Below are 16,526 nucleotides of genomic sequence, written 5' to 3'. Positions count from 1 at the left end.
ATCTGTAAAATGGCATCTCATATTAAACAGCTTGTCAATTAACTTTTTTTTTTTTTTAAGGAACAGAGAGATTCAAAACTGCGGTCCATTTTACTTCTAATGGGATTAGCATCAAGGAAAAACCACTCATGCAGGGTCTAAGATAAACATCAGAACAATGCAGCAATTATAGGTCATTCAATTAATATATTGACGTGACTTTCAGTTGCTCAAAAATAGTACAGTTTTTTTCTGTTAAGTGAAAAGATTATTTTGCTTTTTCAAGCACCATATTAGAATGATTTTGGTGTGAATAAAACTATTGCTAATTATCGTTGGTTTGCAGCACTTCTCTTTTGTTACTTAGGAATGCCAAAGAAAGGGTAAAATCCCTGTTACAATGAAGGCTTTCTTGCTGGTAATCAGCAGTACTTGGTCTGCCTGCAACTGGGGCTGCTTTGTCCCAGAAGTTTTATTTCTATTGACTTTCTGCTCTTTAGAATTTAAACATTTTTCTTTATATCTTTAACTGCTGAAACTCCAGCTGAGGGAACAGTGGGAGGGGAATAAAAAGATGGTTAAAGTCATTTTGTGGACTGTGAGGGTGCATGAAGAACATGTTCTTCAAACTCAGTTCCACATTTAAGCTGCCCAGCGAGCCTTGCCCTTGCTATTCTCTCTCTCCCTGAAGCCAGAAAGAAGAAGCAGGCGACTCTCCAAAGGACCCCATCTTACCTGTCACATCACAGATGTACCTTTTTAGCATTCTCACAATTGAGATAGGATTCAGAGCCCTGAAACCTGGAGGAAGGAAAGAAAACTCTCTTTTATTTAGTTTCCATCATACAAGGATGTTATAAATATCCCCCATCTTTAAAAAGATCCTAAGATCCCTCTTAGCTGTTGCCAATTACTCTGCTCCCTTTTACAACAGAGTTTCCTAGCATTAACGTTAATGGCTGTTTCCGTTTACCCTCGTCCTGTTTCTTTCTTTAAAAAAATTTTTTTTACATATGTGATATATCCAACTGATTGTCCTTTTTTTAGAACCCACTGAAAATAGTCCTTCATCTTCACCAATCTCCTGAAAATATTCTTTCAATGCTACCAATGACTGCCATTATGCTAAGCCTAATGGTTCTTGTTCAAATATCACTTCTCAGAGAGCTACTCCCCACAGTTACTCTTTACCTTTTACCCAGCTCTATTTTTGCAAGTTTTTTTTCCCATTGTGACATTTACTTTAATAGCTGTAATTTCACTCTCCCAAATAGAATGTCTGTTCCATGAGAAATGGGATTTTATTTCATTCTTTAGTACCTTGCACACTATAGGTGTGCAATAATTATTTTTGTATGGATTGATTAATAAAATGCTGTGGGAATTGCTACTTCACTTGTAATTTTGTTTACCTTTTAATTTAATTCTTAGCACAGTATCTATGAAGTCAGATTTCAATAAATACATGTTGAGCACAAGAGAATTCTAATTAAGAAGAAGGCAGCACTCTGTAGAATAACTGGTTTCTAGGATATTGACATTCATCCAGCAATGATTTGCTGATGAGTATTCAAATTATTTGGGGCTACATTTCCAGCAGGGAGGCTGAGCCACACCATTTCTAGTGATTGGAAAGTGGCTACTCTTATAATGCTGGGGTGCAGCTAGTTTTCCTGTCTCTTTGATTAGATTTTGTCTTTTGTTCTGCCCAGGTGGGTCCCTGGGAATAACTACTAAAGTATGAAACCATGGTGTTGTCTGGCTTTCAATGAAAACATGTAGCCCCGTGCCACTAAACATGATGTACATTATAAACATTTGTTTACCCCTTAGAAGGCATCTTACTTCTTTGTACTATTCCTTGGAGCATTTGATGCACATTTTTCCATCTTGTTGCTCGGTCACTTTTGTAATAGAGCTTGTGTGAGTTTTTTTTTTTTTTAAGGAATTTAGAACTATGTCAGTTTTTATCTCCTTTGCAGTTTTTGGTGATAGCTCTGTTATGGGAAGAAGGCAGTGCTGTGGATCTGGACTCCTTGGAGCAACCCTCTCAGGCACATTTCTAGTTGAGGTCTAAGATTAGGTCACTGTGGATAGAGACCAGCAAGGAATCTCAGGCTTAAGACCCAGTTAGTACAAAGGGAGTGAGCTAAGGAAAACTAGATAACTTAGTTTATTTCTCTTTTTCCTTTGGCTTCCTGAAAGCCACCCAGACTAAACTTGATGTTAGTTCAATTCTACAAGTCCTCGGGATGACCATATTTTCTTTCTCTTTCCAAGGTGCTGAATTTCTTTCTTTCTTTCTTTTTCTTTCTTTCTTTTTTTCTTTCTTTCTTTCTTTCTTTCTTTCTTTCTTTCTTTCTTTCTTTCTTTCTTTCTTTCTTTCTTTCTTTCCTTCTTTCTTTCTTTCCTTCTTTCTTTCTTCTTTCTGAATTTCTTTTTTAATAAATCTGGTTTTATATAACTTTTTATTGAAAGCTTCTTCAAATTACTTTTGGACTGGGGAAGGATATGCTTCTCTGTTTTTTTCCTTGTATATTACTGCATTCCCTAAGAGCTAGTCCATGATGGCAGTCACTTTAGGGACTTGAAATTCACCAGGAATGGGGGTTTGGGGAGTCGTGGTGGTACCTTCATGAGACTAACTTTATGGCCTGTTTTTTGGTATTGACTCTCCTGTTTGTCCTGGTACTCCTTCTGGAAAGTTATTTTTCCTGTGTAGGTTTCCTAGAATTCCTAGATTATATCATATTGAAGTACTTTGTTAACTATGCCATAAGTTGTGGGAAACTAGAGTTGGCCTCACTTTTCCCTTCTTCCTAATGTGGATGGGAAACTGACTGGCAGAAAGAAAATCTTCCCCCCTTCCTCTTGGGTTTCTTCTTTTTCTTTTCATAATCTCTTTTAAGAATTTTCTATTACCATTTCATTCAATTTCTTTCTTCTTTAATTTTTCGCTTCTTCCTGTTACTTACTCTGCAGCCTATAAGTGGTAGATGTATCTGTGGTAGTGGTTAGTAACCTGGGTTATGGAGCCAGGTTGATTGGATTTGAATTCTGGCTCTCCAACTTTACCAGTTATGTGACCTTTTTCAAATTCCTTAACCTCTTAATGCTCAGGTTCTTACTCTATAAAATGGGAGTCATCATAGTATTTACTTCATGAAGTTGTTATGAAGATGAAATGAGTTTATACATATTGAGTACTTTGACACATGTCTGGCACATAGTTTTTAATACATGTTATTGATGATGATGATGATGATGATGATGATGATGATGATGATTGCTTGTTTAACTTTGTGGGTAGCGCTTGAAGTAAGTGCTGGTGGCCAAACTGGTAGATTCTTTCTGGCAAATCATTACATTGACTGGATTAATCTGTCTTGGAGCCAGAGGAAATAACATAAAGTAACTTATAAAGGATGACTCTAGGACCTTGAAAAGTCCCAGGTGTCTGGGCTGGACTTGTATCGGTAATTTCTTGTGTGTGTGTGTGTGTGTGTGTTTCCCAATCTTGGCTTAAGTTTCCTAACCTACTTTTAAGATTCCTTCTTCATAATAATGGTTTTTTCTATGTTGTCCTCAGCCATGTTGTCAAATTGTGAGAATAAAACATGTCTGCAGTCTTCCTGTCAAGATAATAATGAACAGTGCCTTATATTTGTATCTTACTCTGCTTAAAATGATTTCCATTCTAAGAGGTCTACAAGATCTTCAAACTACATTTCTACACCCTCCTCCCTGATTATGTAAACAGAACTATAGCATAGAAATTTCTTGCTTCAAACCAAATCATTAACAGTGAAAAAATATAAAAACTCTTGTCTGCATAATTTTGGGGCAGCTCCCAATTATGGGGGAACAAATCTGAACATGTATCATTTGGGATTGGGAGAAAGTAAAGAAAGGGGAAGCAAGGAGTGGTATGAGGAAGGATATTCTCACCTTTTTGTGTTAGAAAAAACCTTAAAGGTCTGAGGCTTAATTTATAGCTACTTGTTGATCTTTCCATTAAAACCAAATTCAGAAGGAAGAGTTTCCTTGGTGTTCTTATATATGGTCTCCTCTCATATTGCACTTTACCCTATACTTAAATTCTTGCAGGACATTATAGCCACATGATGGATTTGCTCTGTGGGAAGAAGGTTAGACTTAGGCTTGCCAAGCAAATGAACCAAAAAATAAGACTTTAGATATCTCCCAGTTGGAAGCTCAAAGGATTGTGAATTATTGTTTTCTGGAGTAGATTGAAACTCATTAACATCTTTAGCAATGGTAGTAGAATCCATTCATTTCTTTCTTTGCTCAGTGTTGACAGTTTGGACCTGTTGTCTCTGTGTGGGTCTCCAAAGAGGGAAAACCATTCAGAAACAGATTTTCAGGTATTTTCAGTATTTGGTGGAGTTAGGGAGCTCTGTGCAATCTTTCCTATGAGTATACATCCCAGGTTAACTATGCACCGAAGAGATCAAGGTGTGCAGGGGTTGAGAGGGGTCCTCTGCTGATTGAGAGTGATTCTTTATCAGTGTGGATGGAGACAAGAAAGCTGTGTGTTCCTCATTCCAAAAGTCAAACTGCTGACCTCTGGCCATCACAATACCCTCCCTGATGATATCAAGCTGGGCTTCTTGTTTGTTGGGTGGGGAATGGGCCTTGTCAGTAAACTTGTAGTCATGTCAGTGGTTACAGTTTTAATCTTTCCCCTTTCAATTTTCTGGCACTGGCTCTCAAAAAGCAGGATGAAGAAAACGAGAGATCCATCCAGCACACTTATTCCAGATTCTTTATATTTATAATTATCACCTTAAATGAAGTAGCCACCGTTCAAGCCCAGATTAATTTTCCTCCAGACAGATAGCTTATCTATTGCAAAGAGCTGGGTTTTCTACGAGTTTTTCTTCTGCTTGCTGCTGCTCTTAAAAGGCTAGATAACACATTGACTCTAGGAGCTATCTGGCTCACAGGGGCAAAGGAATTGCTTGCTGACCTCACCTGGTCTTTTGCATCTCTTGAAGGGAGAATTAATAAACATCACTTGAAGGGAGAGTTGTGTGACTCATTTGAAGGCACATTTGTAAGGCATATCATCTCAGCGAGGAAAGACGCAATAACTCTAGGCACTGGCTCACTTTTGGACTATTAAAAAACAAAATAAAATTCAGAAAAAATTTTAAATTTTAACCAGCTATTTAAAAATGCCTTCCATTTTAACATATGATTGACTATATGTAACTCTGGCAATTGAGATATTTAAGGACACTTAATAAACTAGCTTTGAACCTCTGGAGATGAGAAGAGTTAGGCTTATTCCTTTACTATACCAAAAAAAAGATCATTGGAGAGTCCATTTTTTTAAAAAGTGCAAGTTGTTAACATGGCACAAGTTTAGTACAGTTTCAGCACAGAATTTTGTGCATGGCTTCTGCTTGAAAAGACTTGGGACTATCCAAAGAATTATCTTCAATATATTTATATCTCTATAAAATCTCAAATTGGGTTCTTAAGTGCAAAATTGAGACTCAAAGTCAATTAAGACATACCTTTTCCTTGGTTAAAAAGAAATCAGAAGATGACCTGATAATCACTACAAAAATAATCTTTCATGAAGAAGATGGTCAGACCAAGGAAGATATCCACATTTGTGAAAAGGAGGGTATTCAAAGGCCATAAAAGGCAGAACTTCAAAATATTTTAAAAAGCCGAATGAACTAAAATGTTCACCTGTGATAAATAATAGCAACATTGAACATTTCTCAAGCACAGAGAGTAATGTCCCACCCCTGTACTAAGTGTGCACAGTGAGAAATGTCCCACCCCTGTACTAATTGTTGGGGATTCTAAAATGAGTAAGACAGGATCCTTGATCTCAGGGAGTTTCATTATGTCATGGCGGAAAGAGATCAACCATCCACAGAATAAAGCCTCCAGTAAGAAGTCATGAGAGACAGGTGGTCCAAGTCTGGCAAGTAGAGAGGAGGGACAGATAGCACGTTATTCCTGTAAGGGACTTCCTGATTTTCAACTGTGACCTAGAAAACCAGGTCCAGTGAGTAGCAGTGAGGTGGTCATATGTACATAACGTGGCAACAACAATTTGTGCTTTGAAAGCACATTATGCTTTTCAACATGCTTTACCAGACATGGTCTTTTCAGGCCGCTCTACCCTGTGCAGTAGGTTATCCAAATGTGCAGATAGGGAAGTAGCAACATGGAGAGGACATGAAGCTTGAGTCACAGTAAATAGCTGCTTAGTGGTACCTCTGGGCCGCCAGGGCTCCTGAACTCTAGGCCTGCTTTCTTTCTGCAACCCGCCAGTGGAAGAAATGGCCTTTCTTTTTTCCAAGCTTGTGCAGTGGTACTTTAGTTTCCTGGGATGTTATCTGTATCATGTAAAAGAATGTTTGATTTTGAACTAAAGTTAAATTCTTTCTCATTCTTCATCTTTTGGCTCAAAAGTCACTTCTTCAGGGGATACTTTTCTGGGCCCCCAAATCTCTCTGCTATGCAGTCTCACAGTCCTCTGTACTTTCCACATTAGCACTTATCCCAGTTTGTAATTTACCATTTGTGTCTTATTTGATTAATGTCTGTCTCCCATGTCCAGCCTTACTCTCCATGAAGCCAGGGAGCATACTTCTTTTGTGTATCAATATATGCATTTAGTGACTTGCATATAGTAATCACTCAATAAATGTTTGCTGAAGGAAATTTAAGGTTTGTTTACTGTTTCCTTTTCCTTTTTTTTTTTTTTTTTTTTTTTACAATAGAGTACCCAACATGTGAGCAGCTTACTTGTGACAATGGGGCCTGCTATAACACCAGTCAGAAGTGTGATTGGAAAGTTGATTGCAGGGACTCCTCAGATGAAATCAACTGCAGTAAGTATTGTGCACAAGATGTGCAGTTGTGTGCTGAAGCTGGTTTATACTGGTTTGAGAGAGCCAATATGTACATCTCTTCCCAAGTTCAGGTTCAGTGAATTCATGTTGGTAGTTTGAAGTCAGCCGTTGGTAGGAGTATTTACACACTGGAAATCGGCAAACACTACAAACCAGGGCCTTTTTGTTCCTGGATAACTGGTTCTTAAACAGTTACCAGCACACCACTGCTTAATAAGAATCCCTTTTTAAACTGGAGATGCTCTTCCTTTGAGATTAAATGGCTACAATGGAGTTAACTTCTCTCTTTTCTTTCCCTTCTTAACTTTCTGTTGCAGCTGAGATATGCTTGCACAATGAGTTTTCATGTGGCAATGGAGAGTGTATCCCTCGTGCTTATGTCTGTGACCATGACAATGATTGCCAAGACGGCAGTGACGAACATGCTTGCAGTACGGTGATTTCTTTATGCTGGGTCATGTTGTTGGGAGTGTTTTGTTTTGTTTCGGTTTTGTTTTGTTTTATCCCCCCGCTCCCCCACCAATGTACCTCTTTTTTCAAGGAGAAGAGTCACTACGTTTGATGGCAGATGGAATCAGACGGTCACTAGGGGGTCTTGGCACAAGCCTTTGTGGTGTTGCTCGACCTGGGCTCCTTTATTTTCCAAGGATCTGTGTAGATGTAAAGGGCTGGTGATGGACAGTTTGCCTTCTTTCCTTAGGCTCCAGGGGTACAGGATATATTGTATCACTGGATTCTCAAATGACCCATACCTCTGACAACCTTGATAGTAGAATGAGAGAAGTGTTTTTAAGGGAAAGGAAGTTCCTAGGAGTGGCTCTAACTCTCCTCTTTACTTTGAAATTTCTGCTGCATTAAAGTTGGAGGGTCAGGAAAGTTTCTTTTTCTTCGTTTTCTTTTTTTGGAGATGGAGTTTTGCTTTGTTGCCTGGGCTGGAGTACAGTGGCGCGATCTCGGCTTACTGCCACTTCCGCCTCCTGGGTTCAAGCAGTTCTCCTGCTTCAGCCTCCCGAATAGCTGGGATCACAGGCATGCACCACCATGTCTGGCTAATTTTGTGTTTTTAGTAGAGATGGGGTTTCACCGTGTTGGCCAGGCTGGTCTCGAACTCCTGATCTCAAGTGATCCGCCCGCCTCGGCCTCCCAAAGTGCTGGTATTATGGGTATGAGCCACCACGCCCAGCCTGAAAGTTTCAGTGTGGTATAGGTGGCTTTCTTGCCTCCACTTCTTCACGCTGACCTTGCTTTTATGTCCATGCTGTTGCCTGCAATGCAAATGACCTCTCTTATTGTTGCCACCTCTCCACTTATGTTTTTTGGAAAGAGTAAAGTTAGAAGACTCTGTGAAAGAGTTTTACTATGTTCAGTAAGTTGGCAGCTTTGCGTGGTGATTTATTTACTAGAATGTATGATTTCCCTCCACACCTCTTTTGATTGGTTGGTACCCATGCCTTAGGGTGTTGTTAAATATTTTCGATATCACCCTAATTTTCAATGAGCCATGCCTGACTTCCTTTCTGGAACCTGGGCTTATTTCAGTGACAGAGAATTAAAGAGAATGTGACATCATGGAATGGTCGACTCAGAATCATTTGGTCATAGATTAGCAATTACGGAGCTTGTAGTAAAGTATGAGAACGTTGGATGTTGTCATGTCTGCAGCATCTTTGTCTGCATTTTCTGTTCTGTGCCAACGCATTGCAAACCATCTTGTTTTTAATTTTTTTTTTTTTTTTTTTTTTTTTTGAGACAGGGTCTCACTCTGTCACCCAGGCTGGAGTGCAGTGGTGCGATCTTGGCTCACTGCAACTCCACACACCCCCACCAGGCTCATGCCATCCTCCCACCTCAGCCTCCTGAGTAGCTGAGACTACAGACATGTACCACCATGCTTGGCTATTTATTTTTATTTTTCGTATTTTTGGTAGAGATGAGGTCTCACCATGTTGCCCAGGCTGATCTAATTTTTAATCTTGAAAAACAGAAACCGGCACCTGAGTTCATTTCCTGGACCCAAAGCTGCTGTTATCTTCTTCTTTCTCTCTCTTTTTTTTCCTCCTTTTTAAAAATTTTTGTCAAGATGTCTAAGGGATTAAATTGATATAGAAATTTCAATTTCTAGGAGTACTGCTTAGGCAGTGAGGTGAGAGCACTTTCAGTTTTTCCCGGTGATTTGTGTCTTTGGAGTGCAGCTGTTGCTTTATTCCAGACTATCCGACCTGCGGTGGTTACCAGTTCACTTGCCCCAGTGGCCGATGCATTTATCAAAACTGGGTTTGTGATGGAGAAGATGACTGTAAAGATAATGGAGATGAAGATGGATGTGGTAAGGAGGGGAAGAGATTCCTACTGAAAAGCATTTTCTTCAAGTGTTTTCCAGCGCTTGTTTTTTCTCCTTTCCTTTTTAGAAATTTTGTGTGACAAGCAAGCCTCAGGATTGGCTGGAGTTGAAGGGGTTGTTTAGGAACTTAGTGGGTGGGGAAGACGGAGGTGACTGCGCTAACTTCTCCTAAGAAGATTCAGAACACAAATACAGATTAAATTATAATCCTCTCCCTTCTATCTTTAAGGCAAAATAGGTAGGACAGTCTCTGTCTCTTCTATACCCCAGTCTGACTTTCTCCCTGTAAGACTGCCTGTTTTAAATAGATTTAAAACTATATAAAACTAATAGGCTGGGGAAGGAAAGAAAATAGGGAAAATGTCATTTGTCTTAGACCTTACAATCTTTAAAAATGACTTTGAACCTTGGTAACAGTTCAGCTTATTTTTTTGTTTTGGTTTTGTAAATTCTGATTCCCAAATGAGTCACTGACACTCAGTGGTGAAAGAGAGGCCACCTTGGGAACACGTGGGTTGGAGCTGGGGATGGTAAGTGTAGGAGAAGCTACTATCCAGGGAAGTGCTTAAAGATTCCGTGAGAAGGAAATTGCCAGTGATATTCACCCTTTTATGTTGCTGATATTGACCCTTTTATGTTGCTGATATCATCAGCAGTACCTCCAACAATTTAGCAGTTACTAATACCCATACCCTACAGCAAGTTACCTGCACCATTCCAATCCCAGGTATGATAAGGGAAATGCTTGTTAAAACTATGTTTTATGTTTTTATGTTCCAGAAAGTGGTTTTTCTACATTTGGGTTATGGTTTTTCTTATACTGTTGACATTTCACTAAATAAACAAAGCAAATCAAAAAGCCCAACCACAAATTCAAGTAATTCTGGACCTAACTTGATGGCCCTAATTCTATAATTCATGATTTAAATAACTACATCTTTTCTTAGGGGATCATGAATTTAGTTTGTCGATAATTGAGGCCCATATCTGCTTCTTCCTCTTATAACCCTACTGGGGGCTGCCTTTTCCAGGAAAAGTGGAGTAATTCCATTATGCCTCTCCTTAGAATCTCAGTAAAAGACTAGTGGTAGAGTTAGAAATCACTAACTTATTGTAAAATGTAGATCATTTATAGATTTCTCTTGTTCAACTTGCTCTACATCCTCTGTAAACCACTGATTAACAAAGAGCTGGCTGTACCTCCCCTATGGCCTGTAACTCTCTCTTTTTCCCCCCACAGAAAGCGGTCCTCATGATGTTCATAAATGTTCCCCAAGAGAATGGTCTTGCCCAGAGTCGGGACGATGCATCTCCATTTATAAAGTTTGTGATGGGATTTTAGATTGCCCAGGAAGAGAAGATGAAAACAACACTAGTACCGGAAAATACTGTAGTGAGTATAGACATTTACCTGGGTAGCTTTCAGATAAAGATATTTCTGTTTTCTAGAACAGACGTTCAAATACAGTGTATCTGTTGGCATTTGCATAACAAAGCACCCCAAGACTTAGTGGCATAAACTGAGAAACGTGTCTTATTTCTCACAGTTCTGTGGGTTGGCTAGGTAGTTCCTCTGGCCTGTATCAGCTCACTCACACGTCAGGATGTTGCAGTAAAAGCTTGGGCTAGCCTAGCCTTGTTGACCCAGAGGCTGAAAGAGCAAATCCTAGGGCTCAAGTACTTTCAAGGTTCTACTTATGCCAAGTTTGCTCAAGTCTTATTGTCCAAAGCAAGACACTTGGCCAAACCCAGAGTGGATGGAAGAAATAGACTCCATCTATTGATGGGAAGAGCCTAACAATTTTTTAGCAACTCCCCGTTCCTAATCCCTAACGCACACACAGGGAGGATTGTTTCAATGGCAATTTTGATGACCTTAAAGATGTTCTGGAGATTTTATTACCTGGCTTATACTTATGGAAAAAGGCCTTGTCTGGCTGTACTAAAAAAAAAAAAAAAAAAAAAAAAAAAAAGCTTCTGGTTCCTGGGTTATGTACCTTGAGTTACTCTCCAATGGCAAAACTGAGTTGGCCATGCACAGTGTTGTTCGATTATGTCTTGTGTGACCACATTCATTTATGAGGAAACTGACTGGAACTAGGGATTTTTTTTCTCCTTTTTTGGGGCTGTAGAATATTCACCCCACCAACAACCCATCAACTCTGTGGACAGCTGATGGTCCTGTAAGGAAATGCCATTTAAAACCTTGATTTCATCAATAATATACTCTAACTAAATTTGTGATTGCCTAGAAGTGCCCATGTAACTGCAACCCCAAGGTTATTTTTTGTTTCCTGACAAAAATTGTACATAATATTTAAACAGGCAGAGACCTCTATGGCATTTTTTTCTCTATTTCATTTGGGAGCCCATTTAAAAAAGCTTAAAAATTAATAAGAGATATGTAGTCACAGTATGAAAGTTGGAAAATAAAAATTAACCAAAAGAAAAAAATATAATCACCTGAAATCCCATCTCTTGAAGCCAGCCACAGTTAATATTTCTAGGGCTTATTCTTGCTCCAGTCACTTGGGAGTTCTTAGCCCTTTTTACTATGTAGACACAAAGATAGACCCATGCATGACCTGATTTTTTTTTCATAAATAAGACTTTTAATGACTTATACTTGCACATAGTTATAACTTTAAAAAGGAGCTTTTTCTTTTCTTTTGTTTCCACTCAAGGCAGCCTCTTGTTCTGTCACCCAGGCTAGAGTGCAGTGGTGCAGTCATAGCTCACTGCAGCCTCCATCTTTTGGGCTCAAGTGATCCTCCTGCCTTGGCCTCCCAAAGTGCTGAGATTACAGTTGTGAGCCACTGTGCCTGGCTAATGCTTTTATTTTTAATTTTTTGTGAATATGAGGTGTAGCTACATTACCCAGGCTGGTCTTGATCTCCTGGCTTCAAGCAATCTTCCTGTCTCAGTTGAACTTTTATTGCAAAGTTTTGCAGTAAGCTTTGAAGGGTGACAGATTTTTCTGTACATCTACTTCATGCTTACTGAGCTGCTACTCATGGAAAAAGAAGCTATTAGATTAATCAGTCTTGTCCAGAGGTCACCATTCATTTAACAAAGTTCTTTTCTTCGTTTAGGTATGACTCTGTGCTCTGCCTTGAACTGCCAGTACCAGTGCCATGAGACGCCGTATGGAGGAGCGTGTTTTTGTCCCCCAGGTTATATCATCAACCACAATGACAGCCGTACCTGTGTTGGTAAGTGATGGGGGGCGGCGGCTACTTGTCTTTCATTACAGTACACTGATGGGTGCCCTGATCTCTGACATCTAGGAGGTTGCACTTGTGGAGAGTCGTCATGGTCTGTCATAACAAAGAGCAACCCAGACCTCACAGAAAACCTGGCAAATAGGGAATTTTAACTCTGAGAAGGTTTGGTGTGGTGTACAAGGCAAAAGAATGGTTCTGTCATGAGCGAGTTGACTAGCTACCTGGAACCTATCCATTACTTGATGAGGGCGGTAGTCCTTTTCTGTTTTCTTTTCAAGTATTTGGCATCAGGATTGGTGCAGCCATACTGGTTATTGAATACTGAACTACTTCCATGAGGTTGGTAGATAGCTGCTGCCTGAGCCCAGCAAGCACCGCTACCTTGCTCCCCTGGCCTCTTCTCCAGGATGCACAAGCATCCCCAGGATCCCACAACTAAAGAGTTGTTACCTGACACAGCAGAGGATCACCAGGTCATTGCTCAGGTGACTACACTGGTGGGCCAGTGCCTTTGCTGGGCTGGCTACTCATTCCACTGATTGTGACATCCACTTGGAACTATCATTCAAGATGAGCAGATTCTTTATCATGGTGCTTCCAGATGGTGGCTGGCATTAAACTAGACACCAGTACACCAACTATTTCCTCATATCTCTCCTCTCTGACTTCAGAAATGATTTCTCCCAATGAGATTTTTGATTTTGATGCCAGCTTTATATCTCACTGTGATTAGGACGGGGCCTTATGATGGGAGAATTAGACTTGACCAACTATCATCAGTTTTTGTTTTCTCAGTGAGTTTTTGGTGCTCTGATCTTTTTTCCTTCTATCTGATTTTTGATACATGAACAACAAACATACTAGCAGGAAGTGATCACAGAGGGAGTTTAAAGAAAACTATTTTTACTGCTGTTGGGAAAAGGCATCTGGAAGGCAATTGAAACTATTCATTAAAATTTGGTAGTCATCTATGGGGCTCCAAAATGATTCAGAATTTTCCCAGGATATTTATATTCTTTTGATATTCCTTAGAAATGTGAGGTATTCTTTAGGGCTTTTGGGATAGCAACAAACATGAAATGTGTAAGAAATGCTTCTAGAAAAGTATTTCTTCTGAAATTATTATTTTAATATTATTAAAATATTAAAATTTTAATATTAAAATATTAAAATTTTAATATTTTAGAACTATTTGGTAACATTTGGAAAAAATTATTGAATATAGATAAACCTAATGCAGTTATTCAGTCTTTAGTCTCAGCTCATTGCTTCCAACATAATTATACTTTGTCAAATACAGCTAATCTTAACAACTACTCATAGCCAGAAAAGCCTTTCTTTTTTTCTTTATTATTATTATTATTATTATTCTTCAGCGGAAGTGCTAGCAAACAGAAAAATGTATTGATACCAGAAATAAACTCTGGTTTGCAAATTAAACTTGAAATTCTTGAGAAAGTCTGCTCCTCAGCGTTACTGAAAACTACAATCGTTGGGCTCACTTACCTACCATATGCCAAAAAAAATTAGATTTTTATATCCAGTAAAGCAATCCATTTGAGCTTTTCCTTGTGTTCATAGTGGGTAACTGTAGGTTCTTAATATCAGGACCACGTCCCAAAGTTGCCCATCTAATTGCTCCTCTTAAGTAACTATATTCAACAAGGTACTTTAAGATCAAGTGACTTAAGTGAACTCTGGAATAATTTAAGAAGGCCCCCAAATTTCTAATCATTTTAAAACATTTTATAAATAAAAGTTATGATCTGCAACTGGACTTAAATAAGATTGCAGGACACATTTTGTGTTTTATTGTTATCATTACCATTATATTGGGAATGCATTCAAGTAATTTACAGATACTTTTCACACGAATGCCCTTATTGGTTAGGTGGTGACCTGACTCTGGGAGCCCTGCCTGGATTTCAGGCAGCCCTGCGCAAAGGGGCAGCCTCACTTCTGCTCAGAGTGGGGCTCGTCTGTGGGTGTGAGGCCACTCCTGTGTCTTTAGCAAATGTCAGGCTCCTTTTCCCCCCTCACTGCTACCCAGCTGCCAATCCCATTCCCAGCCTTTTAGTTCTTTAGGCATTTTCCTTTTCTCTTAGTAGAAAAGAAGTTCCAATAGAAATACCAGAAGCCACATTCTCAGTATTACATCAGCTTTTCTCTCTTTTTCCTTTATCAACTCCCAAAGAGGAGTTGGGGCTGAGCTGTCTTACAGTTGAAACTTGATAGGCCATGAAGTCCTTTCAGGAAAAGTGATTTGTTCTTTCAGAATCGCTAATTCAGTCTTGTGATGCCCCACAAGCTGTTCTCAGTTTTTTGTTCCACCCTAGAGCCCAGATAACACATTTTCCATATTTTCCAACATATAAGTCTGTGGTGAGCCTTGGGTTGTATTTCCAAATGTCTAGGGTTTTCTAAATGTCAGAGATTCAGGCCACTTCAATTTTCAATAGCCTCTCACAAAGCGAAAGGCTGTCATAACAATGTTCTTGTTTTATAAAATTTTGCATTTAACCTACTAGTGAATGTAAGGCAGAATATTGCAGTATTATGTGTGCACAGGATAATTTCAGGATCAGAGAAGATACCACAATTAATAACACATTGGAAGTAGTGTGTTCTAATACCGGGGCACTAATTTTAAGTTCCACAACAGACATCTTCTTTCATTCCCGCCAGCGCGTTTCTGGGACTTTAGTACAGACAACCTCATTTGGAGATAATCTCAAAAGTCTACATTTGAGGGCCTTTGTGAATATGAGGCCTCCTGCCACCTGCAGAGACCTTTTCTGTGACCTTTGCTGTCCTTCAAGAATGTGTCATTTGCCTCTGAGTTTTGAGGCTGGGTTAACATTTATTTCACATTTGTTTCAAAGAAGACTGTATTTTTCTCTCTTTATAGAGAACTCTTTAAATACATGACGTTAGGAAACCAGTTACACTTGTTTCAGCTGAGCTGAATTTTTAGGGGAATTGTTGCTTTGGTTTGCTCTCTCAAGCATTTCATTTCAACAAATACTCTCTGTATGGCTATAACCCTCTGCATGGCTGACGCATTACACAGGCTTCAGGTGTTGGAAACCTATGCAACATTTATTATCTTAGACATGGCTCCCCAGTGAATACCTCGGTGGTAATCAAGAATAACATTGAATAATCCTGACACGAAATCTTGTGTCTTTCTACCATTCATCTGCCTCTGGTAGTGTTGACCTGGCAGTGGAAGCTCTGAGGCATGCTGAAGCAGTTTACTGGGCTCATTGTTTCTGATTGACAGGACATGCTGTTTGTTGACAGAATGACATCGTGGTGCAGAGTGAGGGCAGGGAGGTCATTCAGCATGGTGGGGTTTCACACAGCCAGATGGATCAGAGGGTGGCCAAGGGGGGCTCAGTTAAAAAGGGGTTTTTGAGTCATTTTCACAGCAGTATTTGTTGGTGGGAGGAGACAAAGAATAAAAAGGAAAGAAAAATAGATAAAGGTATTGGAGTGAGAGGGGGATTGTAAAGTAGTGTTTTAGTGTTTTGTGTGGTTTCCACTATCTTTTCTACTCTCACGAAAACCCTCAATTCTACTTTTATTTTTCTTGTCTTCACTCTGGCTGCTGATGGATGTTAATTAACCTTCATATTCCTCTATAGTGATCCAAGGATACAATCTTATTGTCACAAAAGTGACAGCAATTTTATACACTCATTCAAATCCTGTTTTTTTGTGATAGGGTCTCACTGTCGCCCAGGCTGGAGTGCAGTGGCATTATCACGCTCACTGCAGCCTCCCACTTCAGCCTCCCGAATAGCTGGGACTACAGGCACGTGCCTCCATGCCTGGCTAATTTTTTTTTTTTTTTTTTTAATTCTTAGTACACATAAACCCTTGCCATATTGCCCAGGCTAGTCTCAAACCCTTGGACTCAAGCAATCCTCCCACCTTACCCTCCCAAAGTGCTGGGATTATAGGCGTGAGCCACTGTGCCTGGCCCACTCATTCAAATCTTTAAACCACTTGTAGTGCAGGTGATAGGAAGGGCATTTGTGCTAGAGAATTCCTAGTTATGACTTCTCCACCTTTGGT

The 16,526-nt window shown here is 39.5% G+C and overlaps 1 protein-coding gene across 3 annotated transcripts in view; it reads left to right on the top strand.

Annotated features, from left to right (window-relative positions):
- Window positions 1-16,526, top strand: part of LRP2 (LDL receptor related protein 2) — a 235,426-nt gene that overhangs the window by 61,075 nt on the left and 157,825 nt on the right. For all 3 annotated transcript variants that reach the window (XM_011511183.4, NM_004525.3, XM_047444340.1), the window contains exons 5-9: window positions 6,750-6,860; window positions 7,199-7,312; window positions 9,091-9,207; window positions 10,463-10,615; window positions 12,315-12,434. In XM_011511183.4, coding sequence (XP_011509485.1) covers window positions 6,750-6,860; window positions 7,199-7,312; window positions 9,091-9,207; window positions 10,463-10,615; window positions 12,315-12,434 — 615 coding nt within the window. The remainder of the gene's footprint in view (window positions 1-6,749; window positions 6,861-7,198; window positions 7,313-9,090; window positions 9,208-10,462; window positions 10,616-12,314; window positions 12,435-16,526) is intronic.

This window comes from Homo sapiens, chromosome 2 (genome assembly GCF_000001405.40).
Source record: "Homo sapiens chromosome 2, GRCh38.p14 Primary Assembly".
NCBI classification, from domain to species: domain Eukaryota; kingdom Metazoa; phylum Chordata; class Mammalia; order Primates; family Hominidae; genus Homo; species Homo sapiens.
This window is presented reverse-complemented; position numbering and strand designations above follow the sequence as displayed.